General features: G+C 39.0%; 1 pseudogene, 2 gene segments (V, D, J or C) and 1 further gene, besides 6 other annotated features; all 4 read right to left on the bottom strand.

The window, feature by feature from the left end:
- TRB (T cell receptor beta locus) overlaps positions 1–26962 on the bottom strand; it is a 514277-nt gene that overhangs the window by 73953 nt on the left and 413362 nt on the right.
- Positions 16397–17081, bottom strand: PGBD4P1 (piggyBac transposable element derived 4 pseudogene 1; annotated as a pseudogene).
- Positions 18136–18144: a recombination feature (RSS_nonamer).
- Positions 18145–18167: a recombination feature (RSS_spacer).
- Positions 18168–18174: a recombination feature (RSS_heptamer).
- TRBV28 (T cell receptor beta variable 28) lies at positions 18175–18655 on the bottom strand. The segment is given in 2 exon segments: positions 18175–18469; positions 18607–18655. Coding segments are annotated over 2 exon segments (344 nt in total), but the record flags the coding sequence as incomplete, so codon positions are not given.
- Positions 23435–23443: a recombination feature (RSS_nonamer).
- Positions 23444–23466: a recombination feature (RSS_spacer).
- Positions 23467–23473: a recombination feature (RSS_heptamer).
- TRBV27 (T cell receptor beta variable 27) lies at positions 23474–23946 on the bottom strand. The segment is given in 2 exon segments: positions 23474–23768; positions 23898–23946. Coding segments are annotated over 2 exon segments (344 nt in total), but the record flags the coding sequence as incomplete, so codon positions are not given.

The following is a 26962-nucleotide window of genomic DNA, read 5'->3' as shown; positions in this document are numbered from 1 at the left end:
AAGACCTAGAGACCTTAAATAACCTATCCAAGTTCATATAATCCAAGAGTAAGTAACAGAGTCAGGACTCAAATCAATGCCTATGCGATCACAAATCTCAAGTGTCAATATCAACACTATCAAGTATTGTCTGACTCTTGCAGTTGCCTGTGCCTTAGTAAAGTACAGTCTGGTGGGTAACTGAGAATGATAGGCCTAACACTCTAAAGAATACTAGGAAACTCCAGAAAGACAGGCTTGCAAAAACTAACCCATCTTATTTATTTGATTCTGAGATTCTCTCTATTATAAGATGTTCTATTAAATATCTAATTGTTACTTTTGGGTGGTGTTTAGTACTACCACATTAAAGGTGAAGATTGATTATAGGACTTACCCGTATTTCAAAGAAAATAGAATTGTGAAAAACAATTTACCTTATAATGGACAAAATGTGACACTTTAACAATATTTCAGCAACTTGTTCATATGAGGAGTGTGTGTGAAGCCTTTACAACTTATTGGACATGCCACGGACAGTGGCTCAAGATAAACTCTGCTAAGTAGAAGTAGTAAAAGGTATAGAATACTTCAGTTTTTCTTGACATGTAGGTATATTTTTAAATCTTTTAGTCAAGTGTATCAAACTCTATGCCAAAATAACCCAGCATCTTTTTCATTTTATTTATCCTAAAAGCTTCTGAAAATTAACAAATGATCCCTATTCTTTACTAAATTCCAAATCTTTGTTTCTTCATCAGTATTCTCTTTGTTTGGAAAACAAAAAACAAAAAACAGCAAACATATTCCTCTCCCTTTTCATGCTTTTCAAACTGCAGTGGTCTCTAGATTTTTCTCTCGGGGAATGTTATGGATACTAAACTCTCATTGAATTTTAATGTGTTTATTTATTGAATTAATACATGCACCTGGTTAATGATTCAATTATAACAGAGAACAAAAGGTAAGTTCCTTCTCCAGAGACAGTCTTGTAATTATTTTGCTACATGTTCTTAGAAATAATAGTTCTTGCTTGTTCAAGTTTATGTAAATCTGACTCCTCCTTCTTTTACACAGAAACACACAGCCCAAACCTTCCTGTACTTCACTTCTTTAATTAGCAATGTGGTTCTTATCAGCATATTTCAAAGTTGATTTTATTAAAAAATACACAGAATCATGCCATTATTTTCCATTTTATTATGAGAATTTTCAAACATCTATAGAAGCTGAAACTATTATACAGTGAACATGCATGTACCCACCGCCTAGGTTCTGGATAAAACTGTTACTGCTTTACCACATAACTATCCATCTATCCATCCTTCTATTCATCCATCAATCCATCTAATTTTTTAATTCATTGAAAAGTCAGTTGGAGGCATACTTCACTTCTAAGCAGTTCAGCACGTGTATAATTAACTGGAGTTCAAGGTGTTTTTCAGGTAAAATTTGCATACAGCACCACACACAAATCTTGAATACCGTTAAACAAGTTTTGACAAATGCATACACTGTGTAACCTACCAAATTGTAGAATATTACCATTATCTCCAAAGTTTTCTCATGCCTTTAGTTTTTCCCACTGCTAACTCCTTAGAGGCAATTAGTGTTCTGATTTTTTCATTATAAATTATTCTTTTCTAGAATTTTATATAAATGGAATAACATCATACGCTCTTCTGTGCAAAGTTTCTTTCACCCAGAATAATGGTTTTAAGATTTGTTTACTTCTTTCACCCAGAATAATATTTTTAAGATTTGTTCAAGTTGTGTGTATCAGTACTTCATTCCTTTTTGTGGCAGTGGAATATGTAACCATATAGATATACTACCGTTTGTTTAGCCAGCCTCCTGTAGATGGACGTTCAAGATATCTCCAGGTTTTGGCAATGATGAATTCACTTTCTGTAAACATTCCAGTTTAAGTCTTTTTTTGTAGATTTATGCCTTTATTTCTCTTAAGTAAATACTTAGGAGTATAATTGCTGGCTCATAGGGGTAGATGATCAGAGGGGTTTAGTTTTATAAGAAACTATTAGAACATTTTCCACATTGGTTGTACTATTATCCACTTTCATCAACAATATATGTGAGTTCTGGGACTCCAAATTTTTGCCAGCATTTGGTGTTGCCAGGTGGTTTAACTTGAGTGGGTATGTGGATGGTTAGCGGTATCTCATTGTGGTTTTAATGTGTATCTTTTATTTGTCTGCCCTTTTGCCAGTACCACATTACTTTGATTATTGTGGGTTTATAGTAAGTCTTGGTCAGACAGTGAAAGGACTCCAAATGTGTTCTTTCTAAATATTGTTTTGAATATTCTAGAGTGTCAGGAGCTCAGCATAGCTGAAAAAGAGTGCTGAGGACTTAGGTACTCATTTTAACATATTTATTCTTTTTAAAATTTCAACTTTTATTTAGATACAGGGGGTACACATGCAGGTTTGTTACATGGGTATATTGCATCCAGGTAGTGAGCCAATTAAAGCAACAAGCCCCAAAGGAAAGAGTTAAATCTTTAATTACCTCCTTCAATAGTGTAAGCAAGAGTCTAAAGCCAGAGAAATTACTGACTCCCCCTGTTCTGTTTTTCCCTGTGGAAATGGCACTGGTCAAGTGTTAGTTGGATTAGCACAGACATGGAGTTGTCTCACTGTTGGGGAGCCCTGCAAGGAGAAAGTGGAAACTCACTGGGTACTCAGAGTGGAGAAAAGTGTCTTTAAGGCTCTCTCTTCCTCTCCTATTAGGAGGCCTTGACAGAGGCACCTGAAGAAGACCTCTACATAGGCCTCAGAAAAAGAGACCTAAGAATGAAGGATCCTGAGCTGGCAATATAAATATGCACAAGGGCGTGACCAGCCAGGGGGTCCTTGACTGCAACTCCCTTCAAAGACTGCAATGCATTGGCTGTGCACCAAGTCTGGGGTGGGCAGAACAGCCTCTCCACACCCTGTAAACCAGCCAGGTAAAGCCTTTGTAATTAATTATCTATGGCCTGAAACATCATACATAGGCTTCTAACCAGGAGCGGGACTTCCCATAAATTCTTTGTGTGTTCATATACCTTCTAGAATCAGCTTCTCAGTTTCTTAGAAAACAAAAACAGTTGAGATAACAATTGAGATTTTAATGACTGTAGATAAAATTTAGAGAGTACTGGTTTTAACATATTTAGTCTTTTTAAAATTCTCACTTTTATTTTAGATACAGGGGGTACATATGAAGGTTTGTTACACGGGTATACTGCACCCAGATAGTGAACATAGTACCCAATAGGTAGTTTTTCAACCCGTGTCAACCTCCCTCTCTCTTCCCCTTGAGTAGTGCTCAGTGTCAATCATTCCCATGTTTGTGTTCATGTGCGCTCAATGTTTAGTTCCCACTTGTAAGTGAGAACATGTAGTATTTGGTTTTCTGTTCCTGCATTAATTTACTTAGGACTACGGCCTTCAGCTCTATTTATGTTGCTGCAAACAACTTGATTTCATTCTTTTTTAGGCCTGTGTGGTATTCCATGGTGTATATGTTTTCTTCATCCAATCCATCGTTGATGGGAACCTCGGTTGATTCCATGTCTTTGCTATTGTGAATTGCATGGTGATGAACATATGAGTGCATTTTGGTATAATGATCTAGTTTCCTTTGGATATATCTTCAATAATGGGATTGCTAGGTGGAATGGTAGCTCTGTTTTAAATTATTTGAGAAATCTCCAACTGCTTTCCTCAGTGCCTGAACTAATTTACGTTTCCACCAACAGTGTATAAGCATTCCTTTTGGGTGGAGTGTTCTGTATTTGTCTATTAGTTTCAACTGGTTAAATGTTGAGTTTAAGCCCAGCATTTCTTTGTTAGTTTTCTGCCCAGTGATCTGTCTAACACTGTCAGTAGGGTGTTGAAGTTTCCTACTATTATTGTTTGGTTGTTTAAATCTTTACATAGGCCAAGAAGAGCTTGTTTTATGGATATGGGTGTTCTAATGTTGGATGCATATATATTTAGCATTGTTAGTTCTTCTTGTTGGATTGTACTCTTTATCATTATAGTAATGCCCTTCATTGTTTAATGTTTGTTTTATCTGATATAAGAATAGCAACTCCTGTCCTTTTTTGTTTTTCATTTGCATGATAGATATTTTCCCCTCTCTTTGTTTTGAGCCTGTGGGTGTTGTTACATGTGAGATGGGTCTCTTGAAGGCAATGATGGCTGGGTCTTGTGTTTTTATCTAGTTTGCCACTCAATGTCTTTTAAGCAGATGTTTAGCCCATTTATATTCAAGATTAGTATTGATGTGTGTGATTTTGATCTCATACCCATGTTGTTAGCTGGTTGTTATGTAAATTTGATAGCGTAGTTGCTTTGTGGTGCCTGTGGGCTATGCATTCAAGTGTTTTATGGCAGCAGGTTCTTTAGATTCCATATTTAGCACTACCTTAAGGACCTTTTGTAAGGATGGTCTACTTAAAACAAATTTCCTCAGATTTGCTTGTCTAAGAAGGATTTTATTTCTCCTTCATTTATGAAGCTTAGTTTGGCAGGATATAACATTTTTAGTTGAATTTTTTTCAGGATGCTGAAAATAGTCTCCCAATCTCTTCTGGCTTATAAGTTTTCTGCTGAGAAGTCTGTGGCTAGCCTGATGGGGTTTCCTCTGTATGTGACTTGACCCTTCACTCTAGCTGCCTTTAGAATTTTTTTTATTTTACCTTGACCTTGGTGAATCTGATGACTATGTGTCTTGGGGATAGTTGTCTCATATAGTAACTAGCCAGGGTTCTCTGTATTTCTTGGAATTGAATTTCAACCTCTCTAGCAAGATTAGGCGATTTTTGGCATTATTTATATTTATATTAGGCATTATTTATATTTTTGAAAAATATATTTTTCAAATATATTTTTGAAATTGCTTACTCTTTCTCCTATTTTGGGAATGCCGATGAGGCATAGATTTGGTATCTTTACATAACCCTATATTTCTTATTTCCTTATTTTTTTTTTTTTTTTGAGATGGAGTCTCGCTCTGTCACCCAGGCTGGAGTGCAGTGGCACTATCTCGGCTCACTGCAAGCTCCGCCTCCCAGGTTCATGCCATTCTCCTGCCTCAGCCTCCTGAGTAGCTGGGACTATAGGTGCCCGCCACCATGCCCAGCTAATTTTTTTATATTCTTAATAGAGACGGGGTTTCACCGTGTTAGCCAGGATGGTCTCGATCTCCCGAACTCGTGATCCACCAGCCTTGGCCTCCCAAAGGGCTGGGATTACAGGTGTGAGCCACCGTGCCTGGCCAGTTTTGTTCATTTTTTAAAATTCTTTTTTCTTTATTTTCATCTAAGTTGATTCAAAGAACTGGTCTTCAAGCTCTGAGATTCTTTCCTCAGCTTGGTGTATTCTGCTGTTAATACTTCTTATTGCATTATTAAATTCTTGTAGTAAATTTTTGAGCTCTAGAAGTTTATTTTGATTCTTTCTCAAAATGGCTATTTCATCTTTCAGTTCTTGGATCATTTTACTGGGTTACTTGGATTCCTTGGATTGAGTTTCAACTTTCTTCTGAATCTCAATGAGCTTCCTTTCTATCCAGATTCTGAATTTTGTGTTTGTCATTTCAGCCATTTCAGACCGGTTAAGAACCATTTCTAGGGAGCTAGTGACCCATTTGGATGTAAGGAGATGCTGTGGTTTTTTTGAATTGCCAGAGTTCTTGTGCTGATTCTTTCTCATCTGGTAGGGTTGGTGTTCCCTTAACTGTGGTGTAAGCTGAGTGTGGTCAGTTGGCTTCATTTCTGGATGCTTTCGGAGGGCCAGGGCTCTGTACAGAATCCGCATATGTGGGTGAATTCTTGCACCTGGTTTCACATCCTGCATATATTAGCACGGTAATTTTAGTGTTGTAGTTTGTGCTGTGATCCAGTAGATGCGCTTAAGAGTAACGGCCGGTAGCTAGGCTAACACCCAGCTTGTGTGGCTCTCGTACTTTCTTGTTCACAGGCATGCTCTGAGGTGGGTCGGGGAGACAGATGGCCCCCTCACAAGGTTTGCTTCTAGGACTTGTGGGGATCCAGCTCCAATCCCTGGCACTGCACCTGCATTTCTTTTGCTAGGTGTTCCAGGCTGCAGGGGACTCCTGAGGCAGAGGCTGCAACAGGACATTATTTCTATTTCTATATTTTAAAACTGTCTTTCATTTCCTTTAGCAACTGTTTTTAGTTTTCTGTACACAAGTCTTGCATGTCTTTTGCTAAATTTAAATATTTTATGTTTTTTAATATAAATTCAGGTTTTAAAATTCAATTATCCAATTGTTTATCATTAGTATACAAAATATAATTTTTATATGTTGTAATAATAAATTAATGTATGAACTTACTAATTTGAGTAGTTAATATATAGATTTCTTTTAATATTTGCATGTAAGTAGTCCTTTCATCTCTGAAAAAGGTTTTCTTTATCTTTTGATACCTAGCTTTTTAGTATTTTTCTTGTCTTTATGCATCAGTACAATATGGAATAGAAGTGGTAAGGGTGAACATTATTGACTTGTTTATGATCTTGAACATGTTTAATATTTAAGAAATAAAAATGGGAAGACGTTTAATATTTCTGTCATTAAGTGTGACATAAGCTGTTGGTTTTTTTCAGGTGCCTTTGTTAGATTGAAGAAGTCCCTTTTTTACCTAATTTTCTGAGTGTTTTTATTATAAATGAGTTTGGAATTTTACCAAGTTTTTTCTATCTGTACGTATAATCAAATAGATTTTTAAAAATGTGTTAACAAGATGAATTACATTGATTGATTTTTTAATATTATACCAAACTTTCTCCTAGAATTGACTCTATTTAAATATTTGAATAATATTTTTAGATTCTGTTTTGATTTTTATTTGTTGGCTTTTTGCTATACCTCTAATATTTTCAGGGCTATTCTGGAAAATAAAGAATGATACATTTAAAACTATTTGTCTACTTACTATATTGTAGAAGTTTACTTAAAATATAAGAAATTTGTATCTAATAGATCTGTTTTTCCTATTTCCATCCTTTAGATTTTAGTGTCATTCTGTATTATATATATTTTATATATCCTATAATACAATGATGAAATTTTTACTTTAGCTAGTCTTACATATGATATATGTAATATATCTGACTGCATTTCACTACTTCTTGTGCTCTTCATTTCTTCCTCACAATCCAAGCTTCCAACTGGTATTATTTCTTTTTTACCTAAGAGAATTCCATTGCGATTTACTATCATGTAGTTCTACTGTCAATGGATATTTTAATTTTTATTTATATTCAGATAACTTTACTGTAGTATTTTAATTTTTAGCTGAATATTTTATATCAAATTCTGGGTTGACTTTTTATATTTCTTGTAGCACTTTAAAGCTACAGTTCCCTTCTCTTCTGGTATTCACTTTTTTAAAATGAAAAATTATCATTATTCATGTCATTGTTCCTGGTATGTATGATTTTTCTCTGGCTGTTTGAAGATTTTGTCTTCTTTTCTAGTTTTGGACAATTTGACTGTGATGTGCCTAGGTAGGTGTTCTACAAATTATTTTTCTGAAATTCTTTTTATGTCTTTCAATATACTTTTTAATTAGGCTTTTTTAAAAAAATATTGTTTTTTATCCATGCTTTTTTATATCTCCTCTTCTTTCACTTTTACTCCAATTTCACACATTTTGTACCTTTTGATATTTTTCTAAAGATCACTGAGGCTATTTTTTCATATTTTTTCTCCTGTTTTCTAGATTTTGTAATTTCTATGGATATAACATCAAGTTTCTGAATCTTTCTTCCGTCATCTCTAATCTGCTAGAGATTTCGTTTAGTGAGATTTTATTTAATTTTCAAATATTGCAGTTTAAATTTTAAATTTTTCATTTATTTTTAATAGGTTTCATTATTGTTATAAACGTTCCTATTTTATTCATTATAAGAACATTTTCTTTTATATCCTTAAACATGATTATAATAGCTACTTTAAATTTCAGTCTAGTAATTCCAGCATCCAGGTAAACTCAAAGTTTGTATCCACTAATGGCCTCTTCATTCAAATTAGGTCATGTGATTTCTTTTCTTCATATGCCTGGTAATTTTTGCGTTGTATCTTGGACATTGTCAACAATATATCTAGATTTTGTTTTATCCTTCTAACGATGGTTGGATTTTTGTTTTAACAGGCATTTAACTTGGTTGGATTTATACTTCAAATTCTGTTTCCTATAGCCGGCAACAGCTGAAATCTCTATCCAGTTATGTTAGGTTTAACACTGCTGATTCCAGTATTCCTCTCACATGCATAGTTTAGGCATCAACCAGAGATTCAAACAGAGTTTGTATGGAGAACATTGGGTTGTTCTTTTTTGGACTTTCCCTTCTTGGATGTCTTTCCTAACTCTACAGCTGGCTTTTTAATGGGTTTCTATTTGACTGGGAACTACTTTCCAGCAAAAAGCTACAAAAACAGAAAACTTACCTGTCATCCAAGTGTTGACTTCCCTGTAGTTTCTACTGGCTATTGGTTGCTTTGCTGTCCCTTAAGATAGGCTTTAAAAATGTTCGTCCTGAGTTTATATTTGTTATTTGTGGGAGCGTGGGTCTTATAAGAATTATGATGCCATTACCAGAACTGCATCAATCTTTTTAATGGTTTGAAAAATCAGCAGATTTTTGTCTTTTGGTTTCTACCTATATTTGATATTGCTGAATAATCTGGATTCTTTTTAATGGGATCACCTTCTCCAGGATGGATCTGGATTTTTGACAGGCCATGCAAACTGATACTACAAAATTGTGGATGAGTTACTCAGATGTATCATTTAATAGATCCATAGTCTACGTTTTGGCACTATTTGAAAATGCAACCCTGGAGTCCCTCTGCTTTAGTCTGGGCTAGTTGCTAATTAGTTCCACTGCCCAGCTTTTATCCTGGCACTTTTCTTTCTTATTATTCTGAATGAGAATTTCTATTTCCTGGACCCCATTTTTTTTTTCTTTTTGGTTTGTTTTCTCAGTTTGCTGAGACATACTAGCCAGTAATTTCCTAAGAAAGCTTGAGATGGAGGTAAATGTTTTGGATCCTAACATTATTAAAAATGTCTTTTTATTTGCATTTTATTGATATATTGGGTTAGTAGAGAAATCTAAGATTAAAATGATTTTCTATCAGAATTTTATTGATATTTCTTGCACCTTTTTTTCTGGAATTCAGCGTTGCTGTGTAGAAATGTGATGTCATTCCACTTTTGCATTTATTTATCACTTTTCTCTAAGTATAATTTTGATTTTTAACATTTTCTTTGTCTTTTTGTGGTTTAGAATCATTTAATCCCCAGTGTTCTGAAATCATGAAGATATGCCTTCATTTCAGTTGTCTGACATTAATTAGCCAACAGCAGGCATTTTAAAATATGGAGGCTAATTTTTTTTCATTTCTGGGAACTAATTTTTAGGGTATAATTTCTCTGATAATTAAAAATTTTTTTTTTCTTTTTTCTGGAGTTTCTCTTGGACAGTTGACTCTCCTTTGTTCACCCTTCAAGTCACTTATATTTTCTTTCATGTTTTCTGTTATTTAACTTCTTGAACTTTTTGTTCTATTTTCTGGGATGTTATATCGAGTTTTCTTTTGACTCTTATTTTAAAAATTTATTTTGACTTTCTTAAAGTTTCTCCCCTTTATCTTATTCTGTTTTAAGGACGATGTGTTTCTTATATCTGTCTGGGATAGAAACAAGAATTTACATGATTACTACTTAGAAGTCCACTTTTTTTCTTTATTTTATATGCTTGAGTCAATTTTCTTTGTTCCCACTATTTATTTAATTTCATTTCCTTTTTCTGTTTCTTGTTTTTTATTTTCTTTTTCTCTTCTTTCTTTTAATGTCTGTATCCTTTTCCTTTCTATCTATGTTAGAAACTTTGTATACTAGTGATCTTTGATTGTATATTGATTTTTAAGAGTAAAGCACTAAAAACCTGACTGAAAGCCTGGTAATATGGATGGTACTTGTTTGCTAGGAGATTTTACTTGAAGAGATTTGGCGGGGAACTGGTTGTTTCGTAAGGGACACTGAAATATCAGTATTTGTAAGTCTCTTTTCAGGGGCTGCTCAATTTCTTCAAATAAAAATATATTATTATGCTACTGTGGGTATAGTTACCTACTTGTTCTGTGCCAAAGGCAGTGGAGAGGTGTTGAGAGTTAATTCTTCATGGGTCTCTGACATTTCTGCACAACTTATATCAACTTTTCATTTGGACTATCTTGTCAAGAATGTTTGTATAGCAATCAACCTGGAAGACAGAGACAACATCTCCCTCTGGATCTGTTTGCTATCCAGGATAATAAACACAATGTACCCCCATGAGACAAAGATTGATGAGGTTTGGGAAAAGCCACAGCATCCAGAAACTGCTCTGTGTCACTGTTGGGGAACTGGGCAGAGGGGCAGGCACAGGTCACTTATAGACATATGAAGCTCATGCTGCCTGCTGTGTTGAGAGTATTAAAAATACTTTGTCTGTAATCCAGCAGTCTCTTGTCTTCTGCTAGCATCCATGGAATGTTGTCAAGCTCTTAGCTTGCAAGTATGGTAAAATCTCATATCATTAACAGTTCTCAACAAGAGAAACTGGATAATTGACTATATGAGACTATATATTTATATATCAATTATTCTCTTTGTCTTTAGCCCTGCATCTCATATCACTCTTGATATGCCATGTAATTCCAAGGCTTGAGATCTTCTTATTTAGTTTCTTAGAATAAACTTCTAGTTTCCTGTCAAAAAGAAGAATGTTGGCTACTAGCATTTGATGTATTGCTTAGATGGTCTGTGAAGGGTGAGAGTAAGGGATTTCTGTTTAATTTATAAACTAGTCATCTATAACTTGATTTTCTGCTTTGGGTATCAACTACACACACTCTCTCTGGTCATAATTTTTAATAAATAAAATGGAAGAGACAGTATAATCAAAATTCAAAGAAGGACAAATATAGCTTTAATATTCAGATATGGGCAAGCAATAGTTCTACACCTAGAAATTATAAGTTAGTAAATTTAACATCATCCCTCTTCTTATCCTGCCACCCTACACATGCATAAAATATATTCATAACTGAATATTAAATATGCAGATTTTTGAGCATTTGTAAAGCAGAATGGCAATAATTAAGAAATATGAGTTCATTGAGGGCAAGGTTTCAGAACACTTAGCTACTATTTTTAGACAAGAAAGTGATGTATGAGACCCATCACATGTCAGAGCATCTCAAACCATGGGCTCTGGCATTACCATGTAAGCATTTGTCTGTCTAATGTTACCATTAATAGACTATAATTATTGGCTTATTTTCTTAGGCAGGTAACTGTATGGTATCTGGCAATGTGTATCTCATCCAAGATACTTGACAATACATTTTCAATATATACTATGTGATATGGTTTAGCTGTGTCCCCATCCAAATCTCTGTTTGAATTGTATCTCCTAGAATTCCCATGCACTGTGGGAGGGACCCACAGGGAGGTAATTGAATCATGGGGGCCGGTCTTTCCTGTGCTATTCCTATGATAGTAAGTCTCATAAGATCCGATGGTTTTATCAGGGGTTTCCACTTTTGCTTCTTTCTCTTTTTTCTCTTGCCACCACCATGTAAGAAGTGCCTTTTGCCTCCCGCCATGATTCTGAGGCCTCCGCAGCCCTGTGGAACTGTAAGTCCAATTAAACTTTTTCTTCCCAGTCACAGGTATGTCTTTATCAGCAGCATGAAAATGGACTAATACAGAAAATTGGTATCAGTAGAGTGGGGTGTTGCTGAAAAGATACCCGAAAATGTGAAAGCAACTTTGCAAGTGGGTAACAGGCAGAGATTGGAACAGTTTGGAGGACTCAGAAGAAGACAGGAAAATGTGGGAAAGCTTGGAACTTCCTAGAGACTTGTTGAATGCCTTTGACAAAAATGCTGATAGTGATATGAACAATAAGGTCCAGGCTGAGGTGGTTTCAGATGGAGATGAGGAAATTGTTGGGAACTGGAGCAAAGGTGACTCTTGTTATGTTTTAGAAAAGAGACAGATGGCATTTTCTCCCCACCCTAGAGATTTATGGAACTTTGAACTTGAGAGAGATGATTTAGCGTATCTGGCAGAAGAAATTTCTAAGCAGCAAAGTGTTCAAAAGGTGACTCGGGTGCTATTAAAAGCATTCCATTTTAAAAAGGAAACAGAACATAAAAGTTTATAAAATTCGTAGCCTGACAATGCAGTGGAAAAAAAACCATTTTCTGAGGAGAAATTCAAGACAGCTGTAGAAATTTGCACAAGAAGCCTAATGTTAATCCCCAAAACCATGGGAAAATGTCTCCAGGCCGTGTCAGAGACCTTCATGGCAGCCCCTCCCATTACAGGCCTGGAGGTCCAGGATGAAAAACTGGTTTAATGGGCCAGGCCCAGGGTCCCCATGCCATGTGCAGCCTAGGGACTTGGTGTCCTGTGTCCCAGCCACTCCAGCCATAGATGAAAGGGGCCAACATAGAGCTCAGGTTGTGTCTTCAGAGGGTGGAGGCCTTGGCACCTTTTATGTGGTGTTGAGCCTGTAGGTGCACAGAAGTCAAGAATTGAGGTTTGGGAACCTCCACCTAGATTTTAGAAGATGTATGAGAAGGCCTGGATGCCCAGGCAAAATTTGCTGCAGGGGTGGGGCTCTCATGGAGAACCTCTGCTAGGGCAGCACAGAAGGGAAATGTGGGTTTGGAGCCCCCACACAAATTCCCTACCTGGGTACGGCCTAGTGGAGCTGTGAGAAGAGGGCCACCGTCCTCCAGACCCCAGAATGGTAGATCCACCAACAACTTGTGCTGTGTACTTGGAAAAGCCACATGCACTCAATGCCAGCCTGTGAAAGCAGCCGGGAGGGAGACTGTACTCTGCAAAGCCACAGGAGTGGAGCTGCCCAAGACCATGGGAACCCACCCCTTGCCCCAGCATGACCTGGATGTCAGACCTGGAGTCAAAGGAGATCGTTTTGGAGCTTCAAAATTTGGCTGCCCCACTGGATTTCAGACTTTCATGGGGACTTGTAACCCCTTTGTTTTGGCCAATTTCTCCCATTTGGAATGGCTGTATTTATCTAATCCCTGTATCCCCATTGTGTCTAGGAAGTAACTAGCTTATTTTGCAGGCTCATAGGTGGAAGGGATTTGCCTTGTCTCAGATGAGACTTTGGACTGTGGACTTTTGGGTAATTGCTGAAACGAATTAAGACTTTGGGGGACTGTTGGGAAGGCATGATTGGTTTTGAAATGTGAGGACATCAGATTTGGAGGGGACTGAGGCAGAAGGATATGGTTTGGCTGTGTATCCACCCAAATCTCTACTTGAATTGTATCTCCCAGAATTCCATGTGTTGTGGGAGGGACCCAGGGGGAGGTAATTGAATCATGGGGGCCAGTCTTTCCTGAGCTATTCTCATGATAGTGAATAAGTCTCGCGAGATATGATGGGTTTCTCAGGGGTTTCTGCTTTTGCTTCTTTCTGATTTTTCTCTTGCTGCCACCATGTAAGAAGTGCCTTTCACCTCCTGCCATGATTCTGAACCCTCCCCAGCCATGTGGAACTCTTAGGTCCAATTAAACCTCTTTTTCTTCCCAGTCTCGGGTATGTCTTTATCATCAGTGTGAAAACAGACTGATACACTATGTAATGATTATACATCCTTCATTATGTTTTCTCTTTCTTTAAAATATCTTATGGTCTGCTTTTTAATGTTTTCATTAGTGAATAGTACCCCTTCAGTGTCCCAAGTTAAATAAGACAGCATCCATTGGATAGAACAGGTACCAGTTTATTCTACTGAAGGCTTAAGCATAAAGGAAATCTCCCTCAACTTTCTGCCACCGATGTCTGAGTGAACTGAGCCAGTTCTGATGCCCTCAACAGAGGGCAGAAGAAATCTATGTTACATCTAGGTGCTTGTCACTGCCCTTTATAGGGAATGATGGGATGAAGAAACCCCATTGACTCTTAGTTTCTTGCTATTTCTGTTTTAATGAATTGAAATTAATTGAAGAAGATCTAGCACAGATGAGAAGACTTCCCAATTTTTCAAGCCATACAAAATTGGCTAGGTCAGTTAGGAGGATACTGGAAAATTGAGATAATTTAATTTTAGCAGCAAATTTTCAAAGTCATCAATGTTAATCTTATGATATGATGGTGACATGGGAGATAAATGATGATACAGTGTATCTACAGCTGGTTTAATAGTGATTATCAAAGAATCTTGTAAAACGCACAATTAATATGACTATGTCCACTTGTCCATCACTAACAAGATCCAGTTTCTGCTCTCAAGCCTTCATCCTTCTACTTCAAAATGGAGGTGTTAGAAGCTTGTGCTAAGACATTAAAAATGTCTTTGGTGCTATGGCTATCTTGCTGTTACAAAGGTAGAAGGTAGAATTCCCTGGCTGTGTGGATTACGTCTTTCACCTAATGGTTGGTCTTGGGACCCATTCAGCTGAAGATGGAAATATACCTATCTTGGATTCAATTATCTTATTATTTAAAAAACAATATAGAAACATGCCTTTCCACTAACTTTTCAGCTGTGAGGTTATAGGCAAGTCATTTAAATTTAGGTTTAATTACACTTCACTTATTTAAATTTATTTTTAATTAGGAGAAAATAATATCTGTATGTCAGGGCTGCTGTATTTTATATGTATAAACTACCTGTGATATCTCAGTGGACTCTAGAGAAAAAAAAATTGCCTCCTTCTCTAAATTTTCCTTGTTCCCTGCAGGAAGAGGCCAGACATCTTCCCAGCCATGTCCCATCAAAGAGCCCTGTTAATACTCCCATTCAACAAAAAATAATTTATTTTGTTATATTTTCCCAAATCACATAATTTAAAACATTGCTTAAAAGACATAGAACCAACCCAAATGCCTATCAATGATAGACTGGATGAAGAAAATGTGGCATGTATACCCCATGGAATACTATGCAGCCATAAAAAGGAATGAGATCATGTCCTTTCCAGGGACATGGATGAAGCTGGAAGCCATTATCCTCAGCAAACTAACATGGGAGCAGAAAACCAAATACCGCATGTTCTCACTCATAAATGGGAGTTTAACAGTGATAACATGTGGACACAGGGAGGGAAACAACACACACTAGGGCCTGTTGGGGGTCGGGGGCGAGGGGAGGGAGAGCATCAGGACAAACAGCTAATGCTTATAGGGCTTAAAACCTAGATGACAGGTTGATAGATGCAGCAAACCACCATGGCACATGTATACCTATGTAACAAACCTGCACATTCTGCACATCTATCCCTGAACTTAAAGTAAAACAAAATAAATAAATAGATAAACAAACATTGCTTACTTGGAGATTTAGAGTATCAATTTTTATGTTCTGTGAATTTGTTGGTCTCCTAATGTGATGTATGTTTATGTATGTTTAGTGAAATAATGGTTTACATTTTCTGAATTATTCTCTGTACCCTCATGGTAAACATCCATGATCTATTATGTGCCTTTAAAAGTCTATTATGTGGGTCAGGCGTGGTAGCTTATACCTGTAATCCCAGCACTTTGTGAGGCCAAGGTGGGCAGATCAAGAGGTCAGGCGTTCGAGACCGGCCTGACCAACATAATGAAAACTCATTTCTGCTAAAAATAACAAAAATTAGCCAGGCATGGTGGCGTGCGCCTGTAATCCCAGCTATTCGGGAGGCTGAGGCAGGAGAATCACTTGAACCTGGGAGGTGTAGGTTGCAATTAGCCAAGATTGTGCCACTGCACTCCAGCCTCAGCAACAGAGCGAGACTCCATTTCAAAAGAAGAAGAAAAAAAAAGTCTATTCTGTAAACTGTGAACTCCCCCGTGAACACTTTTTCATTTTTTTTCTAAATTCAAACCTCCTATCCCAATCTACAATCCTTTTGACCTCTTTAGATGTCTTCTGTTACTCACTTTGATGTTTGATACTCCATCTCTGCCTATTTTCATTTTCATTTTTTTATGTGTTCTTCCTCTCTCCCTGGGCTGCATTTTCTTAGCAAGGTGAGGCTGTGTTGGAGGGAGCAGGTGGTAACCATGCCAGAAGGGAAGCTGAGTCTGGCATAGCACTCTTTCTACCAGGGACTCAATTGAGGTGATGACCCCTGTGTTGGAAATGGTCCCACATAGCCCTGGGAATGGACGCAAAGTGCTGGTACCTGTTCCCATCTCTTGCAGTTGATCTTCTGAGTCTGGGCAATACTTGCTATAAGAAATAAATAATCTGTGGGAAAATGTAGGACTCTCAGAAAACCTGAAGTTTCACTGAATATGAAAATCTGTAGATACAGTGTTCTGTTATTTAACCCTTTTCCTGTTTAGTAAAAAAAGTGCAGCTCGCTGCCAGCATTCATTTAATTTGACATAAACATGCTCTTTGAGGCTGAAGCAAATTTGACTGATTATCAACATGAAAATAAAATATAAAAACTGTTCTTGGAATTATTTCTAAACAGAACTGGCCTCTAATCCTAACATCACAGAAATGTATATAATAATCACTATTAGATAATTTTTTCGTGTGGGAAAATTTCAAAGCACGGAACAACAGAAAGTGAAACATCACATTCCGCACAAAAATATTGCCGTTCTCTATAGATCTTGCCATCCTCGTCATTGTGTGAGCAGCAAAAGTGCAGTGACCAGTTGGGTTTTGTTTCTTTGATGGTGGTAATGCTGTTGGGAAAATGTCTTCCAGGTGGGCCAAGAGGTGTGACATCATCAGAGCGTGGACGACCCCAGAGACGTTGCTGCCCTGGCTCACGATGCTTTTTCAGCATCCTTTTAATCAATGTCAGTCTGAAGTTTCTATGGCAAACCGTGTGCTCAGAATTCTCCTTCTTGAACAGGATGTAGGAGTTAAGCACTGTAATGTTTAGAAGGTGGAGAAAGAATTTCTTGTATCAAACCTTGTGTGTTATCTCAGGGGAAACGCTGCAGCCGCAAGCACCGCTAGCATGTATTCTCGGCGCAAAAGGGAAAGGATTTTAATGATATTCTGGGAAGATGTGCTTTCTCTGTTCTGGATGTTGACCTCGGCCAGGAGAATTGTGATTCCTGTCTTTCCTCAGGGAAAGAATCTTCCTCTTCCTTCTGGTAGACTCTCTCACAGAAACATTTGCAGGGTATTTCTTCCTTTTGATGGTTTCTCTTCCCTCATTTACTTGTATTCAAAATCAGCTCAAGTCCTATCTCACACAAACTTAATCTTGAATATTGTGATACACATTCATTCAATTTTTTTCTCTGACTTCTTCCACACAAAAATTTAGCACTGAATCAAAATACGTTTTCAGATGCCTGTTTTGTCTTGCCAATAATAATTGTGCAAGTGCTCTGCAGTTTGGGATTTCTAATACCCTTTACATTTATTTGTATTTCCAAAGCACTGTTAATTTTTACTGACAGAAGAGCATATGTTTTATTCTTAAAGACAGACAAATACACACTTTTTCCAGAAGATTGTGAGTTCAGTTATAACCAAATTCCTACCACCTTCTGCAGCAGAGTTTAAACCTTCTGTGATCAGAATTTTTTCCAGCAAAATATGATTGATCGGAGAACCTGGAAGAATTTGTTTTAATCAGAGTTTTTCTCTTTCTAAATTGAATGAACAAAATTCAAATTCCACAAACTTTCTCTTGAATCAGCACAGGCACAGTAAAAATCATCGAAAGAATTTAGAATATGTTAATGTCCTCTAGTGAAATGTCAACCAAGAGCAAAACACTAAGCAAAGTAGAAAATGCACAGTTAAGAGAGACGAGGATAGAAAAGGGAAGGTAAAATTGATTAACGAAATGGTAGAACAGGGTTACACTGTGAATATGCGAGAGGACTTTTCCTCCTTGTTGGGACTCGTGAATTTACAACACATCGGACTGGGGGAATTAAATCCAGAACAGTCCCTGACTTGTAAAGGGGTGAAAAATAATACCTCATTCTCTCCTTGCAAAGAAGTGTGCTTATGGAGCTAGTTTCTCCTTAGTGGCCGCTTTTTTTCTATTTAGCACGAATGTGCCATCGGAGCCAGCACCAGCCCTGAGTTAGGGCCCCTTCTCTCTTACGTCCGCTCTTTTTGTGCAGAGAGGATGCGGCTGTGCTGCGCTGTGCATAAACTGCTGGCACAGAGGTACATAGATGTCTGGTTGGTGCTGGCGGACTCCAGAATCAGGGAGAAGCGCTCCTTCTTCTCTCTAGAGACACTGTACCCCTCAGGAATATCTCCTTTTTCTTTCATTTTAACATCATATGAGAAATAGATCAGCCGTAGCCCCAGACCTGGGTCTTGTCGATACCAGAACATATTTTCATGGTCCATATCCTGGACACATTCCAGAAAAACTTTCTCTCCCGTCCTTTTGACTAGATATCTCGAGCTCTGGGTTACTTTCACATCTACGAGGCCTGTGAGAGACAGAAAGCAAGGGTGAAAAACAGGCCATCAAGGAGGAGAGGAGAAAAGAGCTTGGTATAAAAGACCTCAAAATAGTAGGACAGGGGTTGCCACCAACTCCCCAGACCCAGCAACTCCCAGGACTCACCTACAGCCAGGAAACAAAAGGCCACACGACAGAGGAGCCTGATTCCCATGGCTGCTTTGAAGAAAGAATAGGTCTTCTCCCAGGACCAGGCAGTGGGTTGATGGTCTGTGATGTCATTGTCCCGGCCCACTCTCATAATCCCTCAGCCATTGTCTAGACTAGAAAGGGTCTAGAGGTGCTAGAGAGTGAAGGACATCCCTTGTGCTCATGGAAGTGTCACTGTGTGTATGTGCACGTATAGAAAAGAGTTGACACAGCGGGCCTGAGACTGCTGGCCTTAGAAGGGACTGCTTGCATGGTTGGCTCTTGATTTGCATCTGCGAACTTGAATTTTGGGAGTGTTCCCACTATAGTAACTGGTAAGCATGGCTTAGTGTGTCTAGACTGCTTGCACAAACCACGTGGGTTAGGCTGAACACTTGCTTTACGTCAAGTCTGGAATTATGCTGCATGATAGGCAGAGGGTGCCAATGTGATCAGCTGAATTATTTTGCGAGGGCTGCCATAAGTCACCACAGACTAGGTCATTTAAGCAACAGAAATGTATTTTCTCATACATCTGGAGACTAGACATCCAAGATCGGGGTGTCAGCATGGTTGGTTTCTCGTGGAGCCTCGCTCCTTGGCTTGTAGATGGCTTCCCCCTGTGTCTGCACATTGTCTTCCCTCTATGCATGTTTGTGTCCTAATTTCTTCTTATAAGGATCCCAGTCATATTAGTGAGGACCTCATTTAACCTTAACCACCTCTGTAAAATCCTTATCTCCAAACATAGTCATATTCTTAGTACTGGAGGCTGGGATTTCAACATATGAATGTTTAATGACACGATTCAGCACCTAACACCAGCCACTGAAAGTATTGGAGGTGCTGAGTCTCTAATGAGCTTCCCTGGGCAGAAAGGTTGTTCTCACGTTGCTGCATTTTCATTGTTGGGGTGAGAGTGTGCTCTCTCATGGAAGAGAACATAAGGAAGTCTCACATGGATTTCTCCAAAGTCCACCATGTCTTTGTTCCTTGTGATCATAGTATTCTTACTACATATTTGTGATACATCTTTGCTATGAGTACAAGGACACGCCGAGTCCCATGAGTCCTTCTGGTGAGTCTCAGTCTTTGAAAGTGAAGGTAATTTTTTTCCTGACCAACTGTGATTAGGAAAACCTTACCATTTTCTCTCTCTCTCTCTCTCTCTGTCTGTCTCTCCTCACTCTCAACATATATTTTATTGAGAGCAGTCTTAGTTTCTCATACAATATACTTAATAATTACTACAAGTAGCATATTGGGTAATAGGGCAGGCTTTGGAACTATGCTGCCTGGGTTTGAATCTGGTTCAAATCCACATGTGTAGGTTCATGTGAGTGCTCACATGTGTAGGTTTACCTGATGGGGTTGGGGAGATGGTGGTATATCAATAATGGGGTGGTAGGTGTGTTCAGCCCCAGGTGCAAGCGATAAAGGGTGCAAAGCATTTTAAAACAATCATAAAACCCAAGTGAAATGGTTTTGCTTTTATTATCACCAAGTGCCAGGAATTCTAAATACTTTTGGTGATAAAAGACTCCTTCAATGAAAGATTTGTCCTTGTGTGACTGGCTCATTTCACTTAGCATTATGTCAAACACAGAGAAGCAGAGAACAGAATGATAATTGCCAGGAAAATGGGAGAAGGAAGAACTGAGCTGCCATTCAATTGGTGTAAAGTTTCAATTATACAAGATAATTACATTCTAGAAATCTGCTATGCAACATTGTACCTAGAGTTAACAATATCATATTGCACATTAGTTTTGTTTAAAGGTTAGATTTCATGCTAAGTGTTATTCCCACAATAAAAAGAAATCTCACCAAGTAATTTTGGTACACATCGAGAACCACTGATCAAAACAAAAGGGTCAGCTACAACTGTCAGTGTGATGCTTATACTGCATTTTCCGGTAACACTTTACTTGTGGTTATTTTGCTAACATTATTCATTAAAACTTTCTGATGGTCTAAACAGGTTTTGAAACTGTATCCATGCATAGTATGAATCAATCAAGTCACAATAGTTTTTAAGTTGTTTGCAATAATATAAAATAGTTATTGTAATTATTCAGACTATATTCCTTAGTTTTGACATTACTGTGAATATCTAATATCTAATCCAACAGACTTGGCCTTACCATAAATCAAGCATACTGACACAGCTACCCAACACAAACACCTTTGAACTTCAGTTTCACCAGACTATTTGCTTACAAAAAAAGCTTCACAACCATAAACATTGTTATCTTTAGTACAATTTTTTTTTTTTATTTTACAAGATGTGAAGTCTCAAAGCTTCTACTGGCAAAATCTGTAAGTGTATAGTGTAGCCTAACCTGCTTAAATGAAAAGTATAAGACTAAGATTAAAATTGCCCCGAGACACAGGTAAACAAAAAGGGAAGCATGTGGGGCCCCAGAGAGGATCCCTGAAGACCGTAATGTAGAATGCAGCCTTCCCTAGTAGGTGGTATGAGGGGGGCACTGGATTGATGCAGGTCAATTCTAATAAAGAACTCAGGCTGATGAAGCCCTATTGAAACAGCAAATGAGAAGGAAGGGAAAGAGGACATTGACAGCTCTGTCTCACAGGCGCACCGTGATCTGGGGATAGATTTTTTTTTTTTTTTTTGAGACGGAGTCTCATCCTGTCACCCAGGATGCAGTACAATGGTGCGATCTCGGCTCACTGCAACCTCCATCTCCTGGGTTCAAGCAATTCTCCTGCCTCAGCCTCCCAAGTGGCTGGGATTATAGGTGTGCACCATCATGCCTGACTAATTTTTTGTATCTTTAGTAGAGATGGGGTTTCACCATGTTGGCCAGGCTGGTCTCGAACTCCTGACCTCATGATCCACCCACCTCAGCCTCCCAAAGTGCTGGGATTACAGGCATGAGCAACTGCGCCAGGCCGGGGATGGACTTTTACAGACTAGGGCCCTCAAGAGTTCCATAAGTCTCAGTGCAAGGAGGTGGGAAAGGCTCCTAAGTGCTTCTGCGGTGGCAGTGGCTTCCTCTGGCAAGGGCAGGCTCAGGAAGGTAAGACCGTCTCTCCCCTTGTGGCAGTCTTTTCTGTTCAGAGAGGAAGTGGCTGTGCAGGGCTTCGGGTTAACGGCTGGCAGTGTCTATGAAGGGCTGGATGTCTGGAGGTTGCAAGAAATAGAACTTAAAGTATATATATATTAAAAAAAAGAAATGCTCAGTCTTATCTCAAGAGACACAGGTCTATTAGAGACTCTCTATTTGTTTGTACTCCAAGCACCAACTGAGAAATAGATTAGTTGGAGCTTCATTCCTGCCTCTTGTCTGGCTCAGCACATATTGGTCATAAAACATATTCTGGTTGTAATATAGAACTTTATATTCTGACTCTGAAACTTGATAAACTGAAATTTCAGTGACACCAGCATTCATGGACATTGTGGCTAAAAAGAGAGAACTTAGGAAATATACTGATGTGTAACCACCAGAAAAAGGCTTAATGTAGGGTCTAGCAAACCAAGTTCAAGGACGTCATACCTGCACCCATGACATGCCTATTCCAAAGAGGCAAAAAGCTATAGAACAGAGAAGTCAATGGCTGGTGAGTTCATGGTGGTGTCTCGGTGTTGGTGTTAGCTCTGTTCAGGCTGTTAGAAGAACACACAGCGGAGAAATAATCCAGTCAATGATTCAAGGCAATCGTCTTGGAGGAAGTGACTTCTAAATTGGTCTATGAAGGAGAATCTCCCCCATTCCTGGAGTCGCCCAGTCCAGACCTCTCTGTACATTTGCACCAGCAGTTTATCCACAGTGCTGCACAGCCAGCTGCAGTCTGCACAAAAAGAGCAGCTGGAAGAACAGATGAATACCAGAGAGAGAAATGGTATTCTGGGTAGAGTGACCATTGTAGATAAAGACCCAGGAGTGAGTCAGCAGTGGACATATTTGGGGATGTGCGAGAAATGGGATGTTTCTGGAGTAGATGCAGGCAGTTGTGGTAGTTGAAGGATAAGGGAAGTCAGTGTTAGAAAGGTGGGGGATATGCAAAGGTCACATCATGGAGGGGCTGAGAGACTTGCAAACTAACATAAACTTGAGACTTTAGCTAGTTAATAGAAATAAACCAAAGGGTTTTAAGCTTGAGGGAGTGGTTTTGGGTGGGAGCAGGTGCAGGCTTGCAGGTAGGGTGGCTACTTGGAAGGTGGCTAAAGTGATCCAGGTGAGATCAGTGAAATTAGAAAAGTTAGTAAAATTTGTGAGGAATTTAGTACTTAGAAAAATGCAGGATAGGGTAGTGGATTTGGTGTGGAAGGAGAAAGTCAGAGAGAGAGTGAAGATCAGTCTTGCATCTCTGGCTTGGGCATTTGGACCATCTGCTGAGAGGAAGAAAATAGGAGGTGCTGGGTTTCATAAATAACTCCAAACATGGTGTTCCTCCAAGTGACAAAACCTCCAGAATAAATAGGACCTGGAATACAGAACCAAATATTGTTGAGACCCATTAGATTGTAAATGGAGTCTTCAGTTTGGGCAACAGTTTAGTTGAATTTAAAGATTTAAGCTCCACAAGAAGAAAGGATGGGAGAGTGTACCCTGGCACTAGACCTAACTCAGTGAGCTTGTCCTGCCCAACTTTGAAACCTCATTGGTACAGCAGGTAGAGGATGGACCCCTGGTTCCACAGAGTGGCTGCATTGCAGAGTCCCTGAGGCTGGCGTGTGGGGAAGGGCTTCTGTGGGATGATGGAGGAAGTTTATCCTGTTGGTCGGTGAGGGGTCTCCTGAAGGAGGAGTCTCCTTGTTCTTGCAGCTACCCTCTGTTTTTGTGCAGAGAGCAGCTGGCTGTGCAACACTGTGGATAAACTGCTGGCACAGAAGTACAGAGAGGTCTGGTTGGGGCTGGGCGACTCCAGGATCAGGGGGAAATTCCTCTTCTCTTTTCGAGAGACTTTGTACCCTTCAGGAACATCTCCCTTATCAGTCACCTCAACATTCATTGAATAGTAGATCTGCCTTAAGCCCAGCCCTGGGTCTTGTCGATACCAGGACATATACTCATGGTTCATATTCTGAGAACAAGTCACTGTTAACTTCTTTCCAGTCACTGTGATGAGGTATCTTGGGTTCTGGGTCACTTGGGCTTCCAGGGGGCCTGTAAAGGAAGGGGACAGAGTTAGAGGCAGCGCTGAAGGGGATCTCCAATGCTTAAGCCTTTAGGAGATGCCTTGGGCTGAGGCCTACAAAATAAGGCCAAAAGTTGCCTATGTGTTCTGGGACTCACCTGCTCCTAGAAGGCAAAGGACCACATAGCCAAGGAGCTGGGGGCCCATGGCAGCATCAGGCAGGTGTCTGCCAGTTCTGGGGGCTCCAGGTGGTTTCTGTAACGTCTCCACCTCTTCAGCTATTTGGGCCTCAGAAACATTTTCAGGAGAGAAACCACTCCCACTTCAGCTCAGAGGGCTGAAGTGTACAAACGCAACACAGCCAACTCAGGCTGAGGACATTTGTAATCAATGTCATTTTCCTTAATCTGTGAGATTCCTTTCTTTATACATGTGCCACATTTTCTTATTAATACAGTCTTGTACAAACTGTCAAATATTTATGTATTTTGGATCTCAGGGTATAAAGTGGTGTAACACATTTGATTATCACTTAGAAGTGTGAGAACATAAAGCTTATAATATTGAAAGCTGCATTATCTTTTTTTTTTTTTTTGAGACAGAGTATCACTCTGTCACCCAGGCTGGAGTGCAGTGGCATGATCTTGGCTCACTGCAACCTCCGCTTCCCGGGTTTAAGCAATACTCCTGCCTCAGCCTCCCCAGTAGCTGGGATTACATGAAAGCTGCATTATCATATATTTTGAAGTCATTTCTACTCTGGCAGAAAAAATTTCAAGTATATCCCTGACTTCATTTATCCACTGGTATATATTTTTAGTCACTACATTTTAAAAGAGTCTAGGGTGTAAAATCTCAGATTCACATCATAGATTATTTTGCTAGTCTATTGCTGTTTAAAATCCAAGACACACAGCTTCTTTGCTCTTTAGCAAAATTGACTTAGTCATCATTGCTAGAGCTAGCAGCTGTTTCCACCAAAGATGGTATCTGGAGCATCTTTCTTCTTTTCCCCTTCTCTGTTCTTCTCCAGAAGAAGCTGGTGAAAGGCAGAGGCAACACCTGCTTCCTGCAGTAACCTCAGAGCCTTACCAGCCAGCTCTGCTTCCTGCCTGCTTTTGGTACGTGCTTTGCTTTCTTGCCACTCCACAGCTTGCTGTACATGGAAGGTATCTGTCCCTGGATATCGTGTTGTAGCCAGGCAGTGTTTGGGGCCAGGAGTGTCAAGCTTCTCTTAGATCTTCCAGCAGCTGCTGGTACTGCTCTCTTTTCTGCCTGAATATGTTCTTCCTACATTGAGGTGACTTTCCTAGGATTCCCCAGAATGCCTTCCTCCTCGAACACCTTTGAACTTTTCTTAATTTTTAAAATTAAGGTATAGTTGATGAATAAAAATTGCATATATTTACAGTGCTCATTGTGATTTTTGACACATGTATACCTTTGAATCCTTCTTGTACTTTGTAGGAACGAATGTATTCCTGGATGGTGGAATAGAAGGAGGCTACCCCTTTCTTCCCAAAAGCTTCCTACCACAAGTAGAGCCTCACAGAGCCCGTCATTGTTTTTGCCAAATCATTATCATCTCCAGACAAGAAGGAGCCCCCTTCCCGGTTTTCAGGCCTACTCTCAAACCTCAGAGATGAGTTCCTTGCCCCCAGACCCCTTCATGGTGAGAGGTGCAGCTCTAACAGTTTCCATTCCATGCATTGAGAAAGGAGTGATTGCTATCAGGACCTTAGCTCTGATCTAAGAGGAGTATTCTCTCTTTTTCTATTTCTTCACCACTGCTTTCTGGAAAAAAATGTAGGGAGAGAGCTTGGCTCTACTTCAGCCACAGGTGTTTGCATTTTCCTGGCAAATCCTCCATATCCTAGCTGTGAATTCGGGTGTTCTTAAGAGAGGGAAAACAACTTTCATTCTAAAAACCCACTGCAAGTAAATAATTTCATGTTACTTAGTAAACCTTGACATCCAAATAGCAAAATCTTTCAGAATTTACTCGCGTCCACATAGCTCACTATTAGTGGATATTGGATTTCCCAACATTCCGTGGTGTTTCAAAGTTGAACAGGTACATAATTACACTTCAGAGTATTATAATTTTTCCCAATGTCTTTTCATATTAGATTAATTCAAGATTTAGGAGGTAGCTAATTCTATATTCTGTCCCTCTACCAGCTAATTCACTCTCCTCAGCAATGTGGTTTCTCCTTCTGTGTTCCTTTGACTATGAGGCTATTCTGCTCTCGTTTCCTTTTCTACCTCAACCAAGGTACTAAAATGATGCTGTTAGCCTGAGGCTCCAATAGCCTTACAGTAGGAGCCAGTTGTTTTACTTTCCCACCCTTCCTCCCTACAACCTTCCCTCTGATCTTTTCTACCCAATTCCACCATATTTAGGAATTCTAGAAACTTATTCTATTCCATTTCCCTAATGTAGGGCAGACTCCTATGTCCCTAACAGCGGGAATGGAAAGTAAACAGAACCCTCTAGACGGCCGGGCACTCTGAAACATCTCCTTCATCTTTGCATTTTGATGAAAAAGCATTTCATTCTACGCCATGCCATCCCTTCCTCTCCTTCATACTTTTTCGGTCTTTGCTCTCTTCCTTCTCTTTTTAGGGACTGCTCATCCACCCAACCGGGGCAACAGTATCCCGATAAAAGCAATTAAGCTAACACCTACTAAACTGATGAACCATTTCCTAAAAACCCCTGTAAGAGAACCTACGCCTTGTCCCTTTAAATATAAAGCAACCTTTTTTTGTTTTTTTCTATGTGATTTTGAGCCCAGGAATAGACTGCAGAATTCTCACCTCACTTCAAATTCTATTTCACTTACGCTCAGGCCATTTTAGTTCTGAGAGTCACTCCAGTTTATGTATTTTCTTGTACTATATGATTAGCTTTTGAAAGACCCCAATGAGACATATTTATATATCAAGTTTTTAAAATTGATAATACAGTATTCAATTTTATCAAACTTTCCCTCCCACCATTATCTGAATTTTAATGTTTATATTACAGGAATATGTTAGTGCCCTCTAGTGGAACATCGGAGTGGTGGGCTGAATGGTTCCTTAAAGATGTCCAGGTGCTAATAATCCCTGCAACCCGTAACAGCTGTGGATGTTCAGTTAGATGGCAAATGGGAATTAAAGCTGCAGGTGCAATTAGGGCTGCTAATCAGCCGACCTTGAGATAGGAAGCAGTTCGTGG

This window comes from Homo sapiens, chromosome 7, assembly GCF_000001405.40.
Source record: "Homo sapiens chromosome 7, GRCh38.p14 Primary Assembly".
Lineage (NCBI taxonomy): Eukaryota > Metazoa > Chordata > Mammalia > Primates > Hominidae > Homo > Homo sapiens.
This window is presented reverse-complemented; position numbering and strand designations above follow the sequence as displayed.